General features: G+C 51.0%; 1 protein-coding gene and 1 long non-coding RNA gene across 6 annotated transcripts in view, besides 2 other annotated features; one reads left to right on the top strand and one right to left on the bottom strand.

The window, feature by feature from the left end:
• The window catches only part of PAX8-AS1 (PAX8 antisense RNA 1), a 31,497-nt gene extending 30,130 nt beyond the window's left edge, over window positions 1-1,367 (bottom strand). The window contains 1 exon segment of one of the 2 annotated variants that reach the window (NR_047570.1): window positions 1,324-1,367. This is a non-coding gene — a long non-coding RNA (PAX8 antisense RNA 1). 2 annotated transcript variants of the gene reach the window in all.
• PAX8 (paired box 8) overlaps window positions 1-20,897 on the top strand; it is a 62,925-nt gene extending 42,028 nt beyond the window's left edge. The window contains exons 8-12 of one of the 4 annotated variants that reach the window (NM_013952.4): window positions 173-293; window positions 1,391-1,500; window positions 9,638-9,739; window positions 16,716-16,802; window positions 18,285-20,897. In NM_013952.4, coding sequence (NP_039246.1) covers window positions 173-293; window positions 1,391-1,500; window positions 9,638-9,739; window positions 16,716-16,802 — 420 coding nt within the window. In that variant the 3' untranslated portion in view covers window positions 18,285-20,897. Of the gene's footprint in view, window positions 1-172; window positions 294-1,311; window positions 1,501-9,637; window positions 9,740-16,715; window positions 16,803-18,284 lie in introns of all 4 variants that reach the window. The other 3 variants (NM_003466.4, NM_013953.4, NM_013992.4) reach the window with 3 other exon arrangements.
• Window positions 1,209-1,288: a silencer, noted in NCBI's record as "silent region_11881". NCBI's record gives its function as "represses an Ori minimal core promoter by ATAC-STARR-seq in GM12878 lymphoblastoid cells {active_cell/tissue: GM12878}" and the evidence as "EXISTENCE:reporter gene assay evidence [ECO:0000049][PMID:35858748]".
• Window positions 1,539-1,728: an enhancer, noted in NCBI's record as "active region_16418". NCBI's record gives its function as "activates an Ori minimal core promoter by ATAC-STARR-seq in GM12878 lymphoblastoid cells {active_cell/tissue: GM12878}" and the evidence as "EXISTENCE:reporter gene assay evidence [ECO:0000049][PMID:35858748]".

The following is a 24,064-nucleotide window of genomic DNA, read 5'->3' as shown; positions in this document are numbered from 1 at the left end:
GAGCATGAACGAAACGTGCCGAGTGGAGTTGAGAACGTAAAGGAAGAAGGGGGCGATGAGGACCTCTCCTGGGGAGATGAGGGCTGCCAAGTCCTAAGACACAGGCTCAGGGTCTGCAGGAAGGTCGGCTTGTTGGATCGTCTCTGTGCGCTGACTTCTCTTTGCTCCCCAGGGCCTCTACCCGCTGCCCTTGCTCAACAGCACCCTGGACGACGGGAAGGCCACCCTGACCCCTTCCAACACGCCACTGGGGCGCAACCTCTCGACTCACCAGACCTACCCCGTGGTGGCAGGTACAACGCCCGGAGCCTCCCTGGCAGGTGGAGGGCGGGGGACTGAAGAGCTTGGCTGGCTGTCAGGCGGAAGGTGTGGGGCCCTGGCCTGGAGAGGAGAGGCGGGCTGTGCCGGCCGGGCCGCCAGGTGGGCCCAGGGGTCGCGCCTCCGGTCCTAGGCCGGGCCTCAAGGTGGGCCGAGGGGTCGCGCCTCCAGTCCTAGGCCGGGCCTCAAGGTGGGCCCAGGGGTCGCGCCTCCGGTCCTAGGCCGGGCCTCAAGGTGGGCCGAGGGGTCGCGCCTCCAGTCCTAGGCCGGGCCTCAAGGTGGGCCGAGGGGTCGCGCCTCCGGTCCTAGGCCGGGCCTCAAGCTGGGCCGAGGGGTCGCGCCTCCGGCCCTAGGCGGCTCCCGTAAGGTGGGCCGAGGGGTCGCGCCTCCAGTCCTAGGCCGGGCCTCAAGGTGGGCCCAGGGGTCGCGCCTCCGGTCCTAGGCCGGGCCTCAAGGTGGGCCGAGGGGTCGCGCCTCCGGTCCTAGGCGGCTCCCGCAAGGTGGGCCGAGGGGTCGCGCCTCCGGTCCTAGGCCGGGCCTCAAGCTGGGCCGAGGGGTCGCGCCTCCGGTCCTAGGCGGCTCCCGCAAGGTGGGCCGAGGGGTCGCGCCTCCAGTCCTAGGCCGGGCCTCAAGGTGGGCCCAGGGGTCGCGCCTCCGGTCCTAGGCCGGGCCTCAAGGTGGGCCGAGGGGTCGCGCCTCCGGTCCTAGGCCGCTCCCGGGTCTCCGCGCTCCCTCCTGTGGGAGAGGCGGGCGCACACACGCCTTCCGGGTCTCTCCATTTTCGCTGCAGAAGCGCAGCAGGGAGGTCTAGCTTCTCTCTCCCCGCCTTGCCACGCCTCGTGGGCCCCGGCTCTCCCCAGCCCAGACTCTGAGGGCAGCTGAGCCTGCCCCGCGCCCCGCCCGCACCCTCCACATCCCACGGCTTGGCTTGTGCGTGTTCCCTCCCCGCCATCTCACACCCCTCTCTCCTTGTTGTCTCCCTCCCTCCGGCAGATCCTCACTCACCCTTCGCCATAAAGCAGGAAACCCCCGAGGTGTCCAGTTCTAGCTCCACCCCTTCCTCTTTATCTAGCTCCGCCTTTTTGGATCTGCAGCAAGTCGGCTCCGGGGTCCCGCCCTTCAATGCCTTTCCCCATGCTGCCTCCGTGTACGGGCAGTTCACGGGCCAGGCCCTCCTCTCAGGTACGACAGGGAGGTCCCGGGGCCATGCAGCTATGGCGGCGGGTGGGACGGGGGTCCTCAGGGCAGACCGCCAGCCCCCTCTCTGGCCTCAGTCTCATCCACCCCCACCCTGTTCCCTAATTCCTCCGGCAACTTTTGGAGGCGCCAACATGAAGTTCTCTGTGACGGGGAAGACATGCTCGGAAGGGGCGGATGCTGTAGGGGTGCCGGGGATGCACCACCCCAAGACCCCATGGAAAAGCAGGAACCCTAAGGCCGGGAGCCGGGTGCTGTAACGTAGCAACTTGGCCTTGGTAAATGCATAAATAGATAGAAGGAAAAATGAACATTTTGGAGGGAAAAAGGAATTGGCTTTTGGAGCCCATTTCTGGATCAAATTTCTAAAAAGGCCAAGGGTCAGTCCCAGTTGTGTTTCCATGATGCAGCTATCTTCATTCCTAGCTTAACAGCATCACCGGGAGGACAGTCAGACATCTGTTAAACATGATAAATTCAGTGATTCAACAACTTGAGAGGAGTGGGGGACCTCCCATCAGGAACCTCAACTGCCTCAAAATATTTAAAGCTGGAAGCACCGACCGGGCGAGGTGGCTCACCCCTGTAATTCCAGCAGTTTGGGAGGCCGAGGCAGGTGGATCACAAGGTCAAGAGTTCAAGACCAGCCTGGCCAAGATGATGAAACCCCATCTCTACTAAAATTCAAAAAATTAGGGGGTGTGGTGGCAGACACCTGTAATCCCAGCTACTGGGGAGGCCGAGGCAGGAGAATCGCTTGAACCCAGGAGGCATAGGTTGCAGTGAGCTGAGGTGGCGCCATGGCACTCCAGCCTGGGTGACAGAGCAAGACTCCATCTCAAAAAAGAAAAAAACAAATAAATAAAAATAAGTAAATCTGGAAGCACCTGAGGGAGCCTCTAGATCAAACCTCTTATGCTGATGAGGAACCTGGCCCAGGGAGGAGAAGGTCCCTGCCAAGGTCTCTGGGCAGGAGCACCATCTGTAGCTGGTTGAGGCCTGGGCCTGCACTGCATGAGTCAGACCTCAAGGGGAGCTGGCTCCTCCTGGCAGAAGGACCTTCGCTCATCCAGCCAGGGCCTGAGGAATGGCTGAGAGTCAAGCGCTTGGCTTGGGTTGGAGAGGGCCTGAGATGCAGTGAAAGTGGGAAGCAGAGACCCATATGGTCTTCAGATACCTCAAGGGCTTCCACAGGGATAGGACTATTTTAGATGTGGGCCCAGTGGGGGCCCAGGACCAGGGAAGGAAGCCAGCTAGCTCTCAGTTCAGCATTGGAGGAATCTCTTTAATAGCGGCACTGTCTCCAAGGAGTGTGGGTATTTAGTGACAGAAGTAAATGCCTCTTCACCTCCCACACCCTCCTACCCCGACGACCTTGAAATGCTGGAGCAGAGACCAGTGCGTGGGTGGGGTGTGTGAGACCTGTCACAGAGGCAGCCCAGAGTCAGACAGTCCATCTGGACCAGTGGTTTCAAATTTGGGCCTCTCAATGCTCTCTTGAAATGAAGCCTTTTACAGAAGACATGTATGCTCACCAGACCCCTGAAGAACTGCTCTTTTAGAAGGGGTCCCTGCCCCTAGAAAGCCCTTGGACTTCGAAACCACTGCACCAGAGGATTAAGACCTCTACAAGCCCAGAGTAACCACAGGGTCATGTGATAAAAGTCCCTGGACCCTTTTTTTTTTGTTTTTTTGTTTTTTGAGATGGAATCTCACTCTGTTGCCCAGGTTGGAGTGCAGTGGCGCGATCTCAGCTCACTGCAACCTCCACCTCCTGGGTTCAAGTGATTCTCCTGCCTCAGCCTCCCGAGTAGCTAGAACTACAAATGGGCGCCACTACACCCGGCTAATTTTTGTATTTTCAGTAGAGATGGGGTTTCACCATGTTAGCCAGAATGGTCTCAATCTCCTGACCTTGGTCCGCCCACCTTGGCCTCCCAAAGTGCTGGGGTTACAGGTGTGAGCCACTGCACCCAGCCCATGGACCCTTTTTTATAACTGGCTCTACATTTTCTTTCTGGCTGGCACCCGGGTTTTTTTTTTTTTTTCCTCCGTACATCCCAGCACCTAATGTGAGAAGTTTCCTTAGAAGAGAGGGACATCCAGTGTGTGGGCAGAGAGATGGTGTTTAAGGGTCTAAAGCGAGGAGTTGACTTGGAGTTCAAGAATTCAAGAGGGTGAAGGCAGCAGAGATGGGTCATTTGTTTTGACCAAAGTGATGAAAAGAGCAAAACCTGTGAGCTGAGTAAAATTATGTCAGCCAGAGAAAATGGGATGCGGGGTAGGGAGGGGAATGAGAGGATAGTGGAGAGGAAGGGAGGGGAAGGGAAGGGAGGGGAGGGGAGGGGAGGGGAGGGGGTGAGGAGAAGAGGTTCATGTCAGTTACAGGGAGTTACGCAAGCCTGCATGTCTTCTGAGAATGGCAGGCTAGAGCTGGCGGCGGTCATGGGGCAGGCAAGGGGTGAGGGTGTGGTGGTGCCCATGATGATGGGGAGCAGGTGCTGTGGAAGCCGCGGAGAAGCTTGGCAAGACCAGCTGAAGGAGAGGGAAGGATGTAGGGCAGCTGGAAGTGGATAGATGTATCAGAGTGCAGACATAGGCTGTAGTGTAAAGTGCAACTGGAACAGCCCAGGGCAAACTCCCTACTCCCAAAGCCCCTACACTTTGTCCCCTCCCTGTCATCCTGTTAGCATCCCCTGTCAACATGCAGTCAATCAGAGGTGACGCCTCCAACTACTGTCAGCTGTTAATTTAGTGGACATGCCCACTCTCCAGGCCAACTGCAGGACTGAGAGGTCACCCAACCCATGGGACAAAACAGCTGGCAGCAGACACCAGGTAGTCATGTAGGAAGCAGGCAGCCAAATATGCAGCACCGGCATATCTTTCAGGCTGGTGGCCCCCAATCCAGGCCCAGATGATGCTGAAGTGCAGGTGTGAGCACTTTGAAGGTTGCTGGCTGGTCACAGGGCCCCCTAGCCCAAGGGTTGACAATTCAGCACAGAGGCAGAGGCTCTGAAAAGAGTGAGGAGTGCTAGCCTTGGAGGATCTGGGGTCCAGGCAAATGGCCAAGAGTAGGAAGCAAGTCAGAAAGCAGCTCAGGCACAAGGGAGGGGATGGCTGGTGTCCATGCTGAGCTCAGGGTGTTGGCCTGGAGCTCCTTACAGACTGTCCACCTGAGGCCTCTGGTCAAGACTGGATCTCAATACCTAACACGTGGCTGAGCCATGGTGAGAGAGCTGGGAGGACATGACGGGGGGCGGTGGGGAAGGTTAGGAAGGGAATGGTTCCAGGAGCGCAGGAGGCTGCAGACCTTCCCAAGAAGAGGTGAATTTGAAAGAAAGAGAAGGAACCTGGGCCCAATGGCTCACACCTGTAATCCCAGCACTTTGGGAGGCCAAGGTGGGTGGATCACCTGAGGTCGGGAGTTCGAGACCAGCCTGACCAACATGGAGAAACCCCATCTCTACTAAAAATACAAAATTAGCCAGGCGTGGTGGCACATGCCTGTAATCCCAGCTACTCGGGAGGCTGAGGCAGGAGAATTGCTTAAACCCAGGAGGCGGAGGTTGCGGTGAGCCGAGATCGTGCCATTGCACTCCAGCCTGGGCAACAAGAGCGAAACTCCATCTCAAAAAAGAAAAAAATAATAAAGAAAGAGAAGGAAGTTGAGGCCACATTATTCCTAAGTAATGCTGCAGACCAGGAGAGAGGAGAGAGGACACAGTGAGTTTTCATTCCATAATCAGCTCAGCTTTAACCCGCGTGAATCTTCCACATGCCTCTGAGTGACTCCCAAGGACCCTCGCTGCCGCCTCCTGCAACTCCTTCACTACTTCATAGCGTTTTTCTCTGGGTCACTTATTTCCGCCTGGTGGCTCTGATAGTGTGATTTCCAAGGTGACTATCCTTCTGAGTCTCAGCTCATCCCCAGTCAGCCAAGAAAGAAGAAACAGCAAGGTTTGGGGAATAGCAAGAGTGCCCCTAACATTGCTGCCAGTTCCCTTTGGAAGCCCCAGTCTGGAGTCCCAACACACTGGCCAAGACAGCAATGTCGAGGCCGTCCTGGTCCCAGCTGCTCTGGGACTGCCTCCAGCTCAGCTCAAAGGAAAGCCATGAGTTAGGTTTTATCATCAAAGAGTCCATTCCCCTCCTCCATCCTTTTGTACAAAATTATATTTAGTTCTGCCAAAGAGATTTCTGAGTTGCCATAAATTCTCCTTGCTATCAGAACGAGATAAGGAATTGAAAAGGGGTTACATGGAGGGCAGACTTCAAAGGGGGAAAATAAAATAGTCTGAAATCACCTCTACCCTCTGAATTCCTCCAGGCAATAGCTTTATGATTCTGGCCTCTACCAATATTTAGAATATTTACCAATATTTCAAGGTGTAGGGGGAGCTAGAGTTTTCTTAGAGAACTCCACGGCCAGTCAACATGGGCCTATGCTTTCTGTCAACTTCCTAAAATAGGACCACGTTGGAAAGAAATTTGGGTGTAGAGGAGATGGAATTCATAGCGAGGATCGTTTTATGATGAAGAGTCTTAAAAACAGAGAAGTAGGTAAGAGGGCATGGTTAGGCCGTGATGGAGTTTCCACCCCACAGCTTCTGTGGTTTTGTTTCTAAGAAGGCTTGCAAGCTTCTTGGCTTTTTGGAAGAAACTATGCATTTAAGCAATTGGAGCAAAGAGTTTTGTAGGGCTGTTGGGAGAGTTTATTGTGCCATAGTCTGGGTGAGAGCCATGCTGAAGAAAGTCTTACCAGTCTTTCCAGGAAGACCAGCTTTCATGGCAGGAAGCCTCAGGCGTCTGTTCTGATGTCCGATTCAGAAGCCTCTACCCCATTGGGAAGACATTAGGTGACTGAGGGGAGATGAAGATTAAAAATCGTAGAGTACAGGGGAGTGAGACTGATGAATTCCATTTATAAGATCAATGTAGGGGCTAGTTCTCATGCGGTGGAGCCCCGTGGGGGCACCTCTGGACCATATTAAGCTGTGTTGTAAGGGGAGTATATGCCCTGGAACTCTGCCTGCTACTCTGCCAGGCTCGAGAGGCAGCAGGTTCAGGTAATAGAACGAGAAGGAACAGGATGAAGGCAGGGGGAAGGGGAGTGCGGGGCCACAGGCTGCCAGGCCAGAAGCAGCCCTGCAGGGCACAAGGCCAGCACCAGCAAACAGGTGACCTGAGAGTCAAGACCACCTCCCACTGCTCCCCACCCCGATCATGGCAGACACAGGCTGCCTCAGAATCCTTCTCAACACTGGGTGCCAGGAGGTCCCTACCAGCCAATCAGGTAGTCAGGTGAATCCAGTTTACAAGCTGAAATCTAAACTAGTTCCTTATGTGACAGGCAGGAAGACGTGGTTCAGAGAATTAAGTGGCTGTCTTTCATCCAGGGTCCAGCCTGGATCTGGAGTTCCCTTTCTCTCTCTCTCATGGAGGAAGAGGTAGGGAGGGAAGAGAAAAGAAGGAAGCAGGCCTGAATCCGCCACCACCTTCTTCCATCACTCCCTCCCTCACCACCTGTCCCTGCTCTGTGCTCCTCCTGCTCTCACAGACTTCCTGTCACTCCTTCCCTCTTGCCTAGCCGGTGCTTCATCTGAGGGCCAAGGGGGCTGAGTTTGAGGGTCGATTGTGTTGTATTCTTCTTCAAAGAAAGCTCAGATTTTATCTCAGTATAGCTTCTGCATATTTCTCCCTCTGCGTCTAAATATCTTAAAATTCTCTTTTCCCCTCCTGTGTTTCCAGCCCTTCATTTGTTCCCTTGATGACCTTGTGTCAGGTAAACTGAACACACCTGTAGAATTCTAGTGGGTTTCACCCCATTTGGTCCAGTGCCAAGCACAGCTGGACACTGCAGGAAAAGTCAAACAAATTAGAAGGTGGTGTTCAGGTTTACCAAAACATTCACACGGTTTTAAACAATGAACACTGATGGCTCTTTATTCTGTAGGAGTTCACTGGCATATAACCATTTCTAGAATGTGTCCATTGTGCTAATCAATGTCCACCTGTAGCATGAAACCCTGGCTCTGAATTATGCAGATAACCTCATAGAAATTGTAATAAGGTGCCTACAGCTATGTTTTTTTTTCCATTTTGCATATGAAGAAACTGACCCTTGGGGCACATACTAGGCTTATCTAAGGGCACTCAGAAAACTAGCCACAGAAGCAGTATAAGGACTCCAGGCCCTCTGATTCCCAGGCCCTGCCCTCTAGAGGAAGGGAAGAAGTTGTGTGTGCCTGGTTTTTGTTCATTGACCCCTTGGGCTTGGCTCCAAATGCCTATCCCAGCCTATGTCCCTTCTTGATTTAGTGCCCGGCCTTGCTAATTTAGCATCCTGGCTTTCTGCTATATACCCAAGTGCTTAGAAAAGTGTCTAGAATATAGTATTTACTCAGTAAGTATTTAGTGAATGAACACTGTCTTTGGGGAATCTCCAGAAAGAGAGATAAGGAGGAGGTAGTCACTGCAGTATTGGCAACTTACAGGCTTTCATGGGGCCTTCCTTCCCTTCTGTCATGACCAGGCACCCCTTGAAGGGGCTGAGGTATGAAGGACCTGGGGGGGACTGATGGGTGGATAGTTGGACAAGCAGTGCCATAGAGGAGATGAATTTGGTAAGTTGGTTAACAGGGCTCACAGGTGGCCCACACAGGTCCTGGGAGGAAAAAGCAGCCCCCAAAATGGAAGAGGCAGAAGGCATTTGGGTAAAAGAGTCATAGTCCAACACAATGGTTCTTAGCCAGCAGCGATTTTGCCCTTACTACCTCCTGCTGAGGACATATGGCAATGTCTGGAGGCATTTTTGTTGTCACACTGGGTGAAAACTGCTGCTGGTATCTACTGGATGGAGGCCAGAAATGCTGCTAAACATCCTACAATGCACAGGACAGCCTCCTGCAGCAAAGAATTGTGCAGCCTAACATGCCAATGTTGCTGAGACTGAGAAACTCTGTAAATATCACCAAGAACTAGGAAGAGCAAATAACTCATTATTCCAACTGGAGCATTTTGAGAATGAAATGGGCATTATTAACAAATATGCTGGGATACTGGTCATCACCTGGGTACACCTTGGCAAACCAGGGTGTATTGTCACCTTGCCAAGAATCTTGGGGTGAAGGAGAATCTGATTGGGGCCTGCAGGACACAGGAGCAATAGAAGAGGGGCAGGGGCAAGGGATCATGTTTATGTTCATTGTTATATGCAGTAGATGGGGAGATGCTCGCCAGGTCAGGTGGGGCCTCCAAAATGGGAAAGTGATTTCTCGATGTAGAGGAGAAGCAGAGCCGGGAAATGAGGTCTTTACAGAGCTGATTTGGTATCACCAAGGTGGGGGTATGACCCACAAGCTATAGATAAACAGAGAGATTGGTGTCTGTTTTGCTAAAAATGGTTCTTTTCAAAATAGAATGGACAGATATGTGGCTTGTGGTCATGTAAAAGCTAAATATCTCCGCCACATCTCCTTCTAGGTTGGGGTTAGCCAATCGGTTTCCTGTACCTGGCAACTCTGATAGATTGCATCCACTTGGAAGGCCCCCTCTACTCAGGGGGAAATGGTATAGTGGTTGATTAGCAATGTCTGTCACAGGCCCCCCAAAAAATAGTGATGAGTTAGTGGCCCACATACATGCCATCCCTTCATAGGGTCTTATTCTTGGTACTCCTCAGAGCCGGGAATGAAAGGGATGAGCTCTGAGTTAAGTGGTCTCAAATGTATTTATGGAGGCCAGCTATACCCACTGCTCTGCTGGCTGCTGTTGGGGGTAACAGAAAACAGAAGACATAACCTCAGCCTCCAATACCAGGACATTCTTGTGGATTAATAAGATAACAATCACGTAAACAAAACCACTGGAGAACAGGGAACAGTGTGAGACTGCAGTAACAAGTGCTCCCTGCATGGTGGAGCCTCTGTCCTGCAGAAGACCAGACAGAGGTGAAAAGAACTTGGGCTCAGATGAGGAGTGGGGGCAGGAGGAAGTGGGTTTGGAGAATGGCTGTAGAGAGGGTGGGAATGGCATGGAGGAAGACAGCCTCAGGAGAGTGAGATGATACATATGGGAGCCCCCATGGTCCAACTGACGACTCTTTGCTGTATTTTTCCAGGGCGAGAGATGGTGGGGCCCACGCTGCCCGGATACCCACCCCACATCCCCACCAGCGGACAGGGCAGCTATGCCTCCTCTGCCATCGCAGGCATGGTGGCAGGTAAGGAGAGGGCCGGCAGGAAGGGGAGCACTGCAAAGAGGAAGTATTGGAGCAAGGTGGGACACAAGGAGCAAGAGGCATACTGTGCCCTATTCATAGACTTCCCAAAGGGCATTGAAGGATGGACCAAAGAGGGCATCTCCTTGTAAATGCCTGGAGACGATGTCCCAGTGCAGTCCTGACTCCCTATTTAACTTGCCCCAGCTCGGCCTCCTTCTTCCCAGGCCTGCTACATTACCCTCCATGATGAAAAGGGAGGGGCTGAGACAGGTCTGTGTTCAAATCCAAGCTCCACCACTTCTTCCAGTGAATCAGTGAGCATAAATGGAGAGCACTCTAAGGGCCCCAAAACACTGTGAGTGGAAGATGAACCCTACCCTCAAGCAGTGCTGGTCTCCCAGTGATTTAACTCTGATGAATCCCAGTTTACCCGTTCTGTAAAATCTGAATCTGAAGGGTATTGATGATGATGATGATGATGATGACGATGACGATGATGATGATGAAATATATGCTTCACATCTCTCTCTCAAGCCTGCATGGATAGGACCCGGGTTCTAGGTACTCTAAGAGTACTATAGAGGATGAAATGAGCCTGGAGTAGCTCTCCATCCTCATTTGGACTGTTCTGGAACCTGCCTGCCAGTCATTTGGGTTTCTTTGTCTGCCAGTCATCATCCAATGATGATTCAAGATGACAAGGTCTGGACAAATGAAGATAATGGGAGTTTCCTTGGGCAAGTCTCAATTTTTTAGGAGCCATGTAGGGAAGACTTTGGGATGGATGAGACATAATTGAGCCATTGTCACTGGTCAAAAAGGCCTGGGACCTGGAGTTTCTGGAAAGAGCTCTGAACACAAGGCATCTGTGACCCCCATGCCAGCCCTAGGCCAGCCTCTCTGGCTGTGACCCCAGAGACTTGGCGTATTTACCTAGGCCTGCTTCCCTTCCTTGCCGGCAGGAGTTAATCTTTGCCAGCCACCCACTCTGGGCACCCTATGCAGAGGCAGGTGGGCTGGGATCTCCTGGGCAGAGGGAAGGGAGGGAGAGAAAGAGGGAGGGAGAAATGCTCTGTGCTCCCTGGGAACCTGCTGAGCTGGCACTTGTTGCTGCCTGGTTACCGTGGCGATGTGCTTAATGCAGCGTTGAAAATACAGAATACTGACTCCTCTGTCCCTCCTGGCCCCGGACTCCCTCCCTCCCTCCCTTCCTCTTCTGGAGCGTGAAATGAGATTGGTCAAGATAAAAAAGGAAAAGATTCGGTTATTTTTTTAAGAGTGTGGATAATGGGGCCTCTCAATCAAAATCCCAGTCTCCAGTCGGTTCCCCCCATTCCCCTTCCAACCCCTCCACCTTCCCCTGCCGCCTGCTTAGAGGAGGAGGAAGAAACATAAAGCACAAGGCTTTTCTCTTAATTATGAATCATTCCCTGAGGGCAGGCCCAGGGCAAGGGGTTCCTGGGGCCCAGAGTCTGACCTGTGAGGTAGCTAGAAGGCTTGAGCCTCTCATCAAAGTCCCCCAGGTTGTTTCCAGAAAGAATCCTGAGTGGGTTCTGTGAAAAAGAAAAAAAATAGCACAACTAGGACACTGACTGCAAGTGAAATCCACAAAGGAGGGACCTTGCCCTACACAGTTGGGCTCCCAGTGAGTTCCATGAAAATCAGTTTTAGAAAATGCAATACTATTTAAATGAATCACTTGGTTCCTAGGAATGGCACTGTGCAAATGAATTCTTAAGGAAATTTTTTTGTGGAAAAATTCTATGTCCGTCTCTTACCACTGCTTGCAATCTCCCAGTTGGTTGAATGGGGACTCCTGCAATTAAAGTGAATAAACTTTCATCGAACACCTACTGCATTCATGTTAGGTACATGATAAATGCTTAAAGCAAGGCATGCCAAAGACATTCATCAATCAATTGTGAAAGGAAGGAAGTGATCACTTATTATGTACTTTTGCATGTCTAGCCATTCAAATATGTATAACTTTATTTCTAATTTTACCCTGACCATAAGACTAAGAGGCTAATACTATCCCAGTTTTATGGATAAGGAAACTGAAGCAAAAGCAAAGTGGTGTGCTCAGGGTCATAATCATACTAAGTGGCTGAGTTATGCAAACACGGATTTTTCAATTTCAAGTCTAAAGCTCTTTCCTCTACACCATACTGCCTCCTACCATACCAGAAATAAAGACACAAGCTGCAAGAGAGGAGCACAGGAAAAGGGCTAGGACAGATTTCCCTTGTCTATTCACCTTCTGTTTCTATTTTATTTTATTTTATTTTATTTTATTTTATTTTATTTTATTTTATATTTTATTTTATTTTATTTTTTTATTTTATTTTATTTTATTTTATTTTTTGTTTTGACTCCATTAACAGTCAATGATTCTCAACCAGTTCTAGAGCAGAACCAGCAGCTCCAGACACATGGATCCATCCAGTCATCTATCTTTCCACTCATTCATCTTCCCATACATTTTTCCACGCATCCATGCATTTTCCCATCTATCCTTCTATCTTTCATCATCCATCCCGTCATCCTCCACCTTTCCACCGATCCTTCCATCTTTCCATCCATCTTTCCTTTTTTTTTTTTTTTTTTGGAGACGGAGTCTTGCTCTGTTGCCCAGGCTGGAGTGTAGTGGTGTGATCTTAGCTCACTGCAACCTCTGCCTCCCGGGTTCAAGTGATTCTCCTGCCTCAGCCTCCCCACTAGCTGTCACTACAGGGACCCACCACCACACCTGGCTAATTTTTATATTTTTGGTAGAGACGGAGTTTCACCATGTTGGCCAGGCTGGTCTCGAACTCCTGGCCTCAGGCAATCTGCCCGCCTTGGCCTCCCAAAGTGTTGGGATTACAGGTGTGAGTCACTGTGCCTGGTCCCTCCATCCATCTTTTAATTCATCTGTCTTTTCAGTTATCTATCATCCATCTTTCCATCCATCCATCTTTCCATCAATCCTTTTATTTTTCCATCCATATTCATTCGTCCATTCATCTTTTCATAGAACTATCCTTTAATCTGTCTTTCCATCTATCCTTTCATCATCCATTCTTCCACCCATCCCTCCTCTCCTATATCCATCTTTTCATCCCCTTTTCAATCTATTCCTCCATTAATCTATACATCTTTCTATATATACATCCTTTTATCTGTCCATCTTTCCATCCATCTTTTCACCCATCCATCCTTTCATCATCAATCCTTCCATCATTCACACTTTCATTCATCCTTCCATCCTTCCATCCATTTACCACTTTTTCACTTAACAAATACTGGTTGAAGGTCTACTGTATAGGATGCTGGGGATACAGCAGTGAATAAGTCAGATTCCTTTATTCCTGGAGCTTATAACCTAATGGTGAAGACAAATGGACAATAAATAAGTCAATGAATGAACATAATAATTTATTGTCTGTGAAGACAATAAAATGGGATGATGTAATAAAGAGCCACAGGGAGAGGAGATAACTACTTTAGATTGGGCTGTCAGGGGAGGCCTCTCTGAGAAGGTGTTCAAAGTGACCATTCAAGTGATAAACTGGGGCAGACCATCCCTGGACCAAAGAACAGCAAGGGCAAAGGACCTAAGGCAGGAACTAGTTTAGCATGGTAGCACAAAATTGTAGTGGCTGGGTCGAGTTTTAAAAGGCTACTCTGATTTCTAGGAAAATGAATTGTACATAGTCAAGAGAGAAAGCACAAAGACCAGTTAGGGGACAGTTGCAGTAGTTCTTGCAAGAGATGACAGTGGCTTGAGTTAGGGAATTAGCAGTGAAGGAGGGAAAAAGAGACCCTGAAAATATATTTTGGTTGCAAAGCCAGCAAACCTTGCTGGTAGATTGGCTGTTGGGATGAGAAAATAGAGGAAACAAGAATCATTTGTAGGTTTGGGGCATGGATGATGGTGGCAAGTATATATATGGCAGACCAGGAGGGGAAGTGATGTAGTAGATGGCAAGTGGAAATCAAGAGTTTTTTGGGCCGTGTTATGATTGAGATGCCTACTAAATGTCCAGTTTTAATAAGTCAGCAGGTACATCATGTGTGTCTGAAGCCAGGAAAGAATCCTGACTAGAGTATAAATTTCAGCCATTGCACAAAGCTGTCATTTAATGACAAGACTACTAGAAACCAAGCCTGGGGTTCTTCAACAATTTAGAGCTCTAACAGAGAAGGAACAGCAAGGAGAATGAGTAGGAAAGACAACTGAGTTACAAAGCAAACAGAAGACTGGGCATCACAAACCCAAAGGCATGAGACAGGGATGAGCTAAAAGGTCAAGGGAATTGAGGATATAGAAGTGACCATTGGTATGATGGAGTTAGAGACTGTGGGGACTTGAGGGGATCAGAGTTGGCCTGATAGGAAGGGATAAGAAGGTGAAGGCAGAGACCATGGGGCAGAGAAAGGCACTGGTAGCTAGAGAGGAATGTGGGGATAGGAAGAGGATTTTTTAAAGACAGAAGATAGCAGAATATGTTTGCAGGGTGAAGGGAGAGACTGATGAAACAGAAAACGGGATCATTGGAGCGGCCAAATCCTTGGAAAGGTGAGTAGGGTGGGATGCAGAGCAAAGAGGCAGGGTTGGCCTTTCATCGGGGCAGAGACGTTTCATCTGCTGTGACTGCAAGCAGGTAGGCACATCTGATGACGGGAAGATGCCACACCCAGGTGTGTACCACCTACCGAGCTCCATCCCCTGCCCCAGGTTCCATGTGACTGAGGTACTCGGTAAATGGTAGTTAAATACATAAATAAGTGGGTGAGTGAGTGAATGCATGAATGAGTGACAAAATGAGAGGGTAAACACATCATGTTTTCCACCTCTCTCCCTTGTCCTCTAGAGCTCACTGTGTTTGCCATTGGGTAGGGTGTGGTAAAAGGTGAGAGGGCCCTTGCTGTGTGGCCAGTAGAGAATCGGCTGAAACCCGGGAGACCTGAGTTAAACAGGAGGCAGTTGGCACTGGGAGATGCAAGAGAGAGTGCCATTGTGGAAGGACGGGGCCAGGGTTCTAGTTCTGGCTTTCACTGAATATGTGACCTTGGCCAAATGTCTTTACTTCCCTATGTCACAGCTGTGTTATCTGTTAAACAGATGTTTAGAGTAGATTATTTCTTAGTTTTTCATCTGTTAAATAGATGTTTCGATTAGATTATTTCTTAGGTTTTTTTTTCTTTGCTTTTTTACTTCTTTACCCCCTTCCTTTTTTTACCCATGTTTTTTGCTTGATTTACGTTAGACTTAGTCTCTGCCCCTAAGGAACTTTCTTACTGTGTTCTCAGTCCGTCATTGACTTCCTAGACAAGGAGAGGATCCAGTAGCCTTTCTCTGCTTTAGGCTGCTCCTCTTCATCTCTCTTCTTCCTGTATAAATGCCTACTTGTCTGGCAATAAAGCAGCTCCCACTAACCCCAACCCAGGCCTTAAGACTGGTTGGATGACTGATTTAAGCCTCCATTGAGCTTTATTTTCGCACCTGTTTAATGGGAAAATAATAAAAGCTTAGATTTATTGAGCACTCCCTGTATATTTGAAGCATGGTGCTAAGCATTTAATACATATTTTGTCATTTAATTCTCATTAAACCAAATGAGATAGGGATAATTATTTGGCCCATTTTACAGATAAGGAAACCAAGGTTCACCTGTAAGTCACTCACTCAGAGAGGCTAAGTGACTTGTCCAAGTTTACATAACCAGGAAATGGGAAGTAAGGATTTGACTCTAGACAGGTCAGCTCCAGAGTCAGGGAGTTTCGAGCAACCCCTCCAAAGAGTCTGGGGAAGGAGACTCAGAACCACATAGCTCCCAATCGTAGGTGAGTTTCTGAAAGGCTGGGTGGACATTCATTGAGTCTCAGGGTTGGCAGGAATCTAGCTTTGTAAATGGAATTATCGCATAAGTGAATAAAGGGATTATCTGCAATTTGGAGTCAAGAGCCCTAAGGTCGAGTTCTACTCTGACATTTAACAACAGTGTGATTTGAGGCAAACTGCTTAATCATGCTGCACTCCAGTTTCCTTTTCTATAAATTGGTAGTATCCATGAGTACCTCATGGGGTAGTCTTGAGAATAAAAGATCATAATGTATGGGAAAGTGCTTTACAAACTTTAAGCTCTTTACCAAGCACCGGTAGTAGCTGTGGTGATCAGTTTGACTTTGTTTTTGTTATGTAAGGGAATTCTTAAGTAATTTCTTCGGTAAATAATTCCTTTGGAAAACTCAAGAATCCATTAACAGAAGGAGGTGATCTGATTTACTTTGTGTAAATTTATACGTTGAGTTTGCTTAAAGCGGCAGACTCAGGATGGAACAACAAACTACTCCAAGTCCCAGGACACAGCTTCCTGAGGGTGTGTGCCCTCTGGGGCTCTCCCTCCTCTCCCATCCTTAACCCTCACACCTCCCCTCAGCCCCCCATGCACACAAACACACACACTCATACCTAGCGAGGCTAAAAGGTTCATATATATGGATGTCCTCTTTGGCCCCTAACCCCATACCCCTGCTGTGGGGCCCTCCCAGAAGAGCCCTTCTCCAGAAGGTCCAGGCAGCAGAAGGAGCAGTTAGTCCCTGGGCCCTACACTCACAGCACAGTTTCCCAGCTCCACCAAACCCTCCAGCTCTGGGAGCTTCCGCAGATCCCAGAGGCTCAGTTTCTTCATCTGGAAAATGGGGGTAGTTATAACATCTACCTTCTGGGCCTCCTGGGAGGGCTGTAGTATGTCAAGCCAGTGCCTCCAGTACCTACGGAAAAGGACACTGCCCCAAATTTTCCAGATCGATGGGTTCCAAAAGGGATGACAGAGGGACCTTCTGAGCTCCATTGTCCCTGCCGTGGCTCCAACTGTCTCCCCAACCATTCCTGAGCTTGCCCATTGCCAGCCCTGCAGACCTTCCCACACCCCAGCCCTGCATTGATGCCCTTCACCTCACAGGCCTCTCCCCTGTGTGCCTCCAACAGGAAGTGAATACTCTGGCAATGCCTATGGCCACACCCCCTACTCCTCCTACAGCGAGGCCTGGCGCTTCCCCAACTCCAGCTTGCTGAGTAAGTCCCTGGGGCTGCCCAGGCCTCTGCTGGGCAGGATGGATGGAGTGGTGGGGGGCAAGGGTGGGTCAAAGGTTACCTGAAAGCTGGGAGTCCTCAGATTATACAGAGGGCCTGGGAGATGGTGCTGTTTGTGATGGAAGAAGGCAGCAGGAGGGCAGTGTACCTGGTTGTTTGGGGAAAGAGGGCAGAAGTCCAGAGGCTTCCAGGCATTCGTTTCCCTCCTGCTTCTCAAGCCCATGTCTTTTAAATCTTTGTTTTGTGTAAGATTCAGGGCTCAGGCCTTGAAGGGGAGGACAAGGGAGGACTTGAGAAAAGCCTAAGAGAGGACCTCCTGCCTCCACGGCTTACAGTCCCACAGTGCAGACACTGACGCAGGGCACCCGCCAGAATGTAACTGCCCTCCTTCCTGGGAGCCAGTTTCAAGAATGCCATCCTGTTGCCCCCATTAACCATCTAAGTGGCTCAGAAATACTCATGATTCAGCACCAAACCCTTAAACAGAAATCTTTTGTTCCACCACATTCCCCATATTTAGCCTGAGATGAAGACAGTATTCAGGGTCGAGGTCCAGAGAGTGAGCTTCAGCGAGCTTCCAGGCTTCTCTTCACCCCTCTCTTGTCCTGGGGTCCTGAACTGGGAAGAGAAGCTTTTCAGCAAAGCAAAACCCCACCAATGGGGGGACTTGAGGGATCCCACTAGAGCCTCCCTGAGTGGTGGCCTTGGGTGTATCAGAGCAAACCGGAGCCAGACAGAAGCAGTGATCCAAGGATGGCCAACCCCACAGGCACCATTGCAGGCTAGGAACCATCCATTCCCCAAGACCCCCTCTCCTCCCATTACCTCTTTGTATTCCAGAAATAACTTGAAAGGTGGCAGACCTGGGCCCTGTTTGCCAGATGAGTTCAACTCCAACCCAGCTTTCCATTCAATTTAGCCAGAAAAGACGAGGGCAATGAGACATGCCAGGGTTCAGGCACCTTCCCACTGAGCCTCCCCAGGCTGCCCATCCTGCAGGTGTGCAGAGCCTCACCTTAAGGGCCGTCAAGCCCAGATCCCCTTTGACCCCTCAGCAGTCTAATCTCCCTGGGTCTTAAGAAAGAAGACTCTCTGTCCTGGCACTGTTTGGGCAAGGCTAGGGAGGATCCCAATGACCTCTCAGTGCACTTGATTCTTTGGGGTTCCACATGCAATTGTTTTCTATTGCCCTCTCCCTATTGCAACGAGGGTGTTGAAGGTCAAAGCAGCCATAGGGGGAAGGGGCAAGAAGCCACTGTTCTCATTCTGGCCAGAAACTCAAAGGTGAGGCCAGAGAAGGAGGAAATAGGGCTGGAGAGGAGTTAATCTTCGATGATCAGATAGGCCAGAGAAATGAATGATTAACTTGTGTTGTCTTAAAGGTCAGCAGATGCAGGGAAGGCTATGGTGCAATTTTCCTTTCTGACCAGCAGTGTTGTTGTTATTTTTTTTTAATGTGTCCAGGTTCCCCATATTATTACAGTTCCACATCAAGGCCGAGTGCACCGCCCACCACTGCCACGGCCTTTGACCATCTGTAGTTGCCATGGGGACAGTGGGAGCGACTGAGCAACAGGAGGACTCAGCCTGGGACAGGCCCCAGAGAGTCACACAAAGGAATCTTTATTTATTACATGAAAAATAACCACAAGTCCAGCATTGCGGCACACTCCCTGTGTGGTTAATTTAATGAACCATGAAAGACAGGATGACCTTGGACAAGGCCAAACTGTCCTCCAAGACTCCTTAATGAGGGGCAGGAGTCCCAGGGAAAGAGAACCATGCCATGCTGAAAAAGACAAAATTGAAGAAGAAATGTAGCCCCCAGCCGGTACCCACCAAAGGAGAGAAGAAGCAATAGCCGAGGAACTTGGGGGGATGGCGAATGGTTCCTGCCCGGGCCCAAGGGGTGCACAGGGCACCTCCATGGCTCCATTATTAACACAACTCTAGCAATTATGGACCATAAGCACTTCCCTCCAGCCCACAAGTCACAGCCTGGTGCCGAGGCTCTCCTCACCAGCCACCCAGGGAGTCACCTCCCTCAGCCTCCCGCCTGCCCCACACGGAGGCTCTGGCTGTCCTCTTTCTCCACTCCATTTGCTTGGCTCTTTCTACACCTCCCTCTTGGGCATGGGCTGAGGGCTGGAGCGAGTCCCTCAGAAATTCCACCAGGCTGTCAGCTGACCTCTTTTGCCTGCTGCTGTGAAGGTATAGCACCACCCCAGGTCCTCCTGCAGTGCGGCATCCCCTTGGCAGCTGCCGTCAGCCAGGCCAGCCCCAGGGAGCTTAAAACAGACATTCCACAGGGCCTGGGCCCCTGGGAGGTGAGGTGTGGTGTGCGGCTTCACCCAGGGCAGAACAAGGCAGAATCGCAGGAAACCCGCTTCCCCTTCCTGACAGCTCCTGCCAAGCCAAATGTGCTTCCTGCAGCTCACGCCCACCAGCTACTGAAGGGACCCAAGGCACCCCCTGAAGCCAGCGATAGAGGGTCCCTCTCTGCTCCCCAGCAGCTCCTGCCCCCAAGGCCTGACTGTATATACTGTAAATGAAACTTTGTTTGGGTCAAGCTTCCTTCTTTCTAACCCCCAGACTTTGGCCTCTGAGTGAAATGTCTCTCTTTGCCCTGTGGGGCTTCTCTCCTTGATGCTTCTTTCTTTTTTTAAAGACAACCTGCCATTACCACATGACTCAATAAACCATTGCTCTTCATCTCAGGCTTTGGGGTTGGCTGGGGAAGGAGGCATCCCGGGGCTGGGCTTTCTCCCAAGAACATCAGAGCTGAGTAGCCGACAAACTCACTTTGGGGCCGTGGGCTGGAAGGGACCATCTGATGCCCCAGAGCTCTGGCTTGGCCTTCTCCCTCTGCCTTTAATTCACGTTGAACGCTGGGTACCTCACTCATCCCAAGTTCTTCAACACTGAGCAAATGCAAGGATAGCACAGTACTGAGCCAACCATAGACTCCCCACAAGGAGTTGCTGTTGTTATTAACAGGAAGCCAGAGAATCAGCAGGGTGGGTTAGTGAGGGATCCGGGAATAGCTGTGACTGGAGCCTGCATAAACAGCTCTGAAGGGAGAGAGAAGACTGGGCTCTCTTGTGTGCCAGGCACAGTATGGAAGGCTTCATATAAGTTAAGCTGAAATTAGCCCTGTTTTACATACAGCTTCATTTTACATATGAGGAAACTGAGGCTTTGAAAAAAATGAGATGTCTTGTCCAAGATGAAAAGTAGTAGATTCAACCAAGTCCTCTTACTCTAAGCCCAACGCTTTTACCCAAAACCCCAGAGTCCTCATCAGGGATGCCAAATGGTTCTAGACCCAGTGGAGGTTCTGGAGCTGCCACTGGGGATTTAATTTCTTTTGATTTGCTAAAGATTTGACCTGACTGAATGGAGAGGTAGAGTGTAGTGTGGCCAGGACAAGGTGAGGGAGGCTGTAGAGACTTAGCACTTTAGGCCAACCACCTCCAGGAAATCTGGGAAATGCAATGTGACAGCTCGGGCTCTGCACTCCAGGGGGCTGTCTGGTGTCCACATGGACCTTCTCCATGTGGGACACAGCTGGAACAAGGGGGCAGGGGCCTGCAGCTGGGATGCCCAGGTGAATATGGGCAGCTGGACAAACAACACTGGGATTGAGTCAGATAGAAGGGGCCCAAGGACTCCAGGGCTGGGAGGACAGAGGCTGGGAGAGAGGGCTCTTACCTCCTTAGGCCTCCCAAAGAGCGGTTAGGGATGCTGCCATGGATGGCATGGCAGGGGGAACCCTCCTGGAAGAAAATCCATCTCTTCTGAAGGGATCTGAGATGCGGCTGGTTTTTCAATGGCAGAACTTCCCTCTGCAGCGCGACTCCGAATCCATGACATCTGAGAGTCTTCCTGACCACAAACCTCTGGGATCCCGAGGGCTCCCTACCCAAGAATCACTTTGAGCACAGCATCCCAAGGAGCCCATAGAGCGATCCCTTGCATTCACAGCCACAGCCCCTCTGGGGACACTCTGTACCCCCGGCAGACCCTTTCCAACTCACAACCAATAAAGGGGCTTGGGCTGTGCTTTGACTAAGGTGACCATGGTTTAAAACTCGCCTTTCTTTCCCGGAGGTGAGCTGGGCTTGCCAGGAGCCTCTGCTCAGAGCGGGTGTTTGTTGACTGTGGGATGTGTTCCCCATGTAACAGGCCTTGGCTAGTACCCATCCAATATTCTGCCCATGGTCAAACCATGGGTCCCCTTTTCGGGCTCAGAAAATAAGGCCATTTATGTATCGGGCGAAAGAAAGACAATTCGACGTGCCCCGGCATTTGGGGTGGTGTTGGGAGGAGTCAGGCTGGCACATGGGGGGACGCAATGAAGAAAGGTGGGATGGCAAGGACAGGGAGGACACGCAGGGGGCTTTGAGGGTTGGCCGAGGGGCCACTTTCACCTGGGGTAGGGAGGGCGGCTTCTGTGAGTGGTCGCAGGTGAAGGGGGGTCGCTTTATGGTGCAGGGGAGCCAGGGGTTCTCTGGGGGTGGTATGTGTGTTTGTAGGAGAATTGGGGATGAGGATGGGCCCAAAACATTGCTGAGGCATTGAGAGCACTGAGGGCCTATCCCTTCCCCCTGGAATAATCCCTTTCACTGCTCATGTAGAGAGACCACCTGAGCTTCCCAGGCAGTTTACTCTTAACTTCTCCCTGGTCCATTACCCTCACTCCTCTTCATCCTCAGGTTCTAGCACAGGCCAGGCCAGCCCAGGGTGCTAGGAGCTTGCAGGAAATTCATGTGGACCAACCAACTCTGGCAGGTCAGTGGGTTTCTTGCTGGGAAAGGGGGCAGCTGGAACCCTGCCTGGGGCCCACCAGATGAACAGAATTGCTGTGACCCCGTAACCTCTACCACAAAGTTCCAGGACTAGAGACAGCGGAACTGGGAGTCCTCACCTACAAAGCCAGCCCCCAGGCTAGTTCCAACCCCTCCCCTTGTCACATCATCTCTTACTTCTCCAATATCCTTGCCATGAGTTGTGAGACTAAGAAACATGTATCTTCTGCCCTCTGTGTGCCAAACACACACTCAAAAACACACACTCAACCCTGGTGACAACTTCAGGCAAGAGGAGTTAGTGAAACCTACTGGAAGTGGAAGCAGGAGCCTCCAAATAGAAACAGAAAGACAGACAGGTTGAGGCTGTTGCTAAGATCTCCCCTCTCCCACCTGCCCTCACCATCCTCCCACTTCCACCACCCAAAATACACACACCTTTCCCATCCATACCAACATGAGGCTTCCTGGCCAGGCACTGTGGCTCACGCCTGTAATCCTAGCACTTTGGGAGGCTGAGGCGGGTGGATCATGAGGTCAGGAGTTTGAGACCAGCCTGGCCAACATGGTGAAACCCCGTCTCTACTAAAAACACAAAAATTAGCCAGGCATGTTGGCGCATGCCTGTAATCCCAGCTACTCAAGAGGCTGAGGCAGGAGAATCACTTGAACCCTGGAGACGGAGGTTGCAGTGAGCTGAGATCGCACCACTGCACTCTAGCCTGGGTGACAGAGCAAAACTCTATCTCAAAAAAAAACAAAAACAAAACAAAAACCCATGAGCCTTCTTTAAGATAATTCACACTTCCTTGTCCTCTGGGGGTGGGCACCAGAGGAAGGGGACTGCAGACCTCAACGCCATTACTACTGGGCCTGGGCGTCAGCATCAGTCCTGTCAATCAGGACTGAGGGAGGCCGCGGGGAGGGAGGGATTGAGCTCCCTCCTAGGCAGCTCCTGCACCCACAGCTTAACAGCATCTCTGTCCTGCCTCAGCCTCAGAAGTGGTAATAACCCTCTCCACAGGCTTAGTTTCTTTTTCCATACAAAGCCCATTCACATCCATTTACATCTCTGATTCTGAATATTGGCCCCCTTTTATTTTGCACTTGGGGAATCTGAGACCAAGAGATAACTTGACTTTTTCAAGGTCATTCAGCGAGTCAGCAGAGGAGCAGGGACCACAGCCTTACCCCTAATCCAAGGCCTAGTCTGCATCCTATTGTCAGGCCTCAGATATCTGGATATGGCCAGGCTTCTGAGAGATGTCAGACACTCTTTGCTTTGCAGGGAGGGGCGGCAGAAGTCACTTGGCCAGTTGGGGCACAGTGACTTCTGCTGCCCCTCCCTGCAAAGCGTGACTGGACGCAAGGCCCAGAGCTCAACTGAAGAAGCACTGGGACCAGGCAGATTTGTGCCAGGCTGATCTCAGACTTCCCTCCATCCTTGGCCCTAAATCTCCCTTCAGGGTGCCCTTTGGCAGCCCCTCTCTAACCTTTAAGGTCATAAAGCCTTCCATGTTCCATAAAGGAGCTGGTGGCTCCTCTGCCCCAGGCTGCTGTGCTACCTTCTGACGCCAAGTGACCGAGCCGCCATGGCTATGGTTCTCATGGAAGAAACTCCCTCTCTCTCACCTCTATCTCCTTCCTTTGTTCACTTCTTCTAGTTTTCTAGTTTTTTTCCTTTTCTACTGAGTCTACAGCAATTATTCCTTTCCCGACTGTTTGAGAGACATTCGTGTCTCCAGGGCTATGAATGAGGGAAAGAGACAGGGAATGTTTGGGGAGAGCTCGGAGTCCCTGACCTCCTCAGGAAATGCCAGGAAGCATCCTTCCTCCCTCTCTCCAGTGCCCTCTCACTATCACCTTCTCCCCATCACCCTCTCCCCTTCTCCCTCTCCCCATCACCCTCCCCTCTTCTCCCTCTCCCCATTACCCTCCCCTCTTCTCCCTCTCCCCATCTCCCTCTCCCCTTTGTCCTCTCCCCATCGCCCTCGCCCCATGGCCCTCTCCTTGGCTTCTTGCTCTTCTCATTACTGTCTACAGCTCCTGCGGCTCTTTGGGGACCACTGGGACACAGACGCTGGAGGTCATTACCTCCTGGGTGGCAGACGCCTGTCCCCACGAGTCCCCACTCTCATAGGCACACACCACTGTCACCAACCCCATCCCTACATCTCCATGCCCTTCACATAGAAGGAGGGTGCCTGGTTCTCCTTCCTGCAAGAAGCTGGAGCAGGCAGACAGGGCGGACAGGTCTCTCCTTCCCCTGACCTCGCTCTTTCTCCTACCCTTGAGAAGCAGCAGGGGCTAAGGCCCACGGTGGAGGGGCTCAGGCCTCCTGGAAGGTGGCAAGAGGGGCTTTGGATGGGGAGGGAAGGGGAGGTGGGGGACCCAGCTCCTTGGCATCTGTGCCCGGTGGCAGCCAGCCAGGCTGTG

The sequence above is a fragment of the Homo sapiens genome, chromosome 2, assembly GCF_000001405.40.
Source record: "Homo sapiens chromosome 2, GRCh38.p14 Primary Assembly".
Classification (NCBI taxonomy): Eukaryota; Metazoa; Chordata; class Mammalia; order Primates; family Hominidae; genus Homo; species Homo sapiens.
Note: the sequence above shows the minus strand (reverse complement) of the source record. Positions and strands in the feature narration are given on the sequence as shown.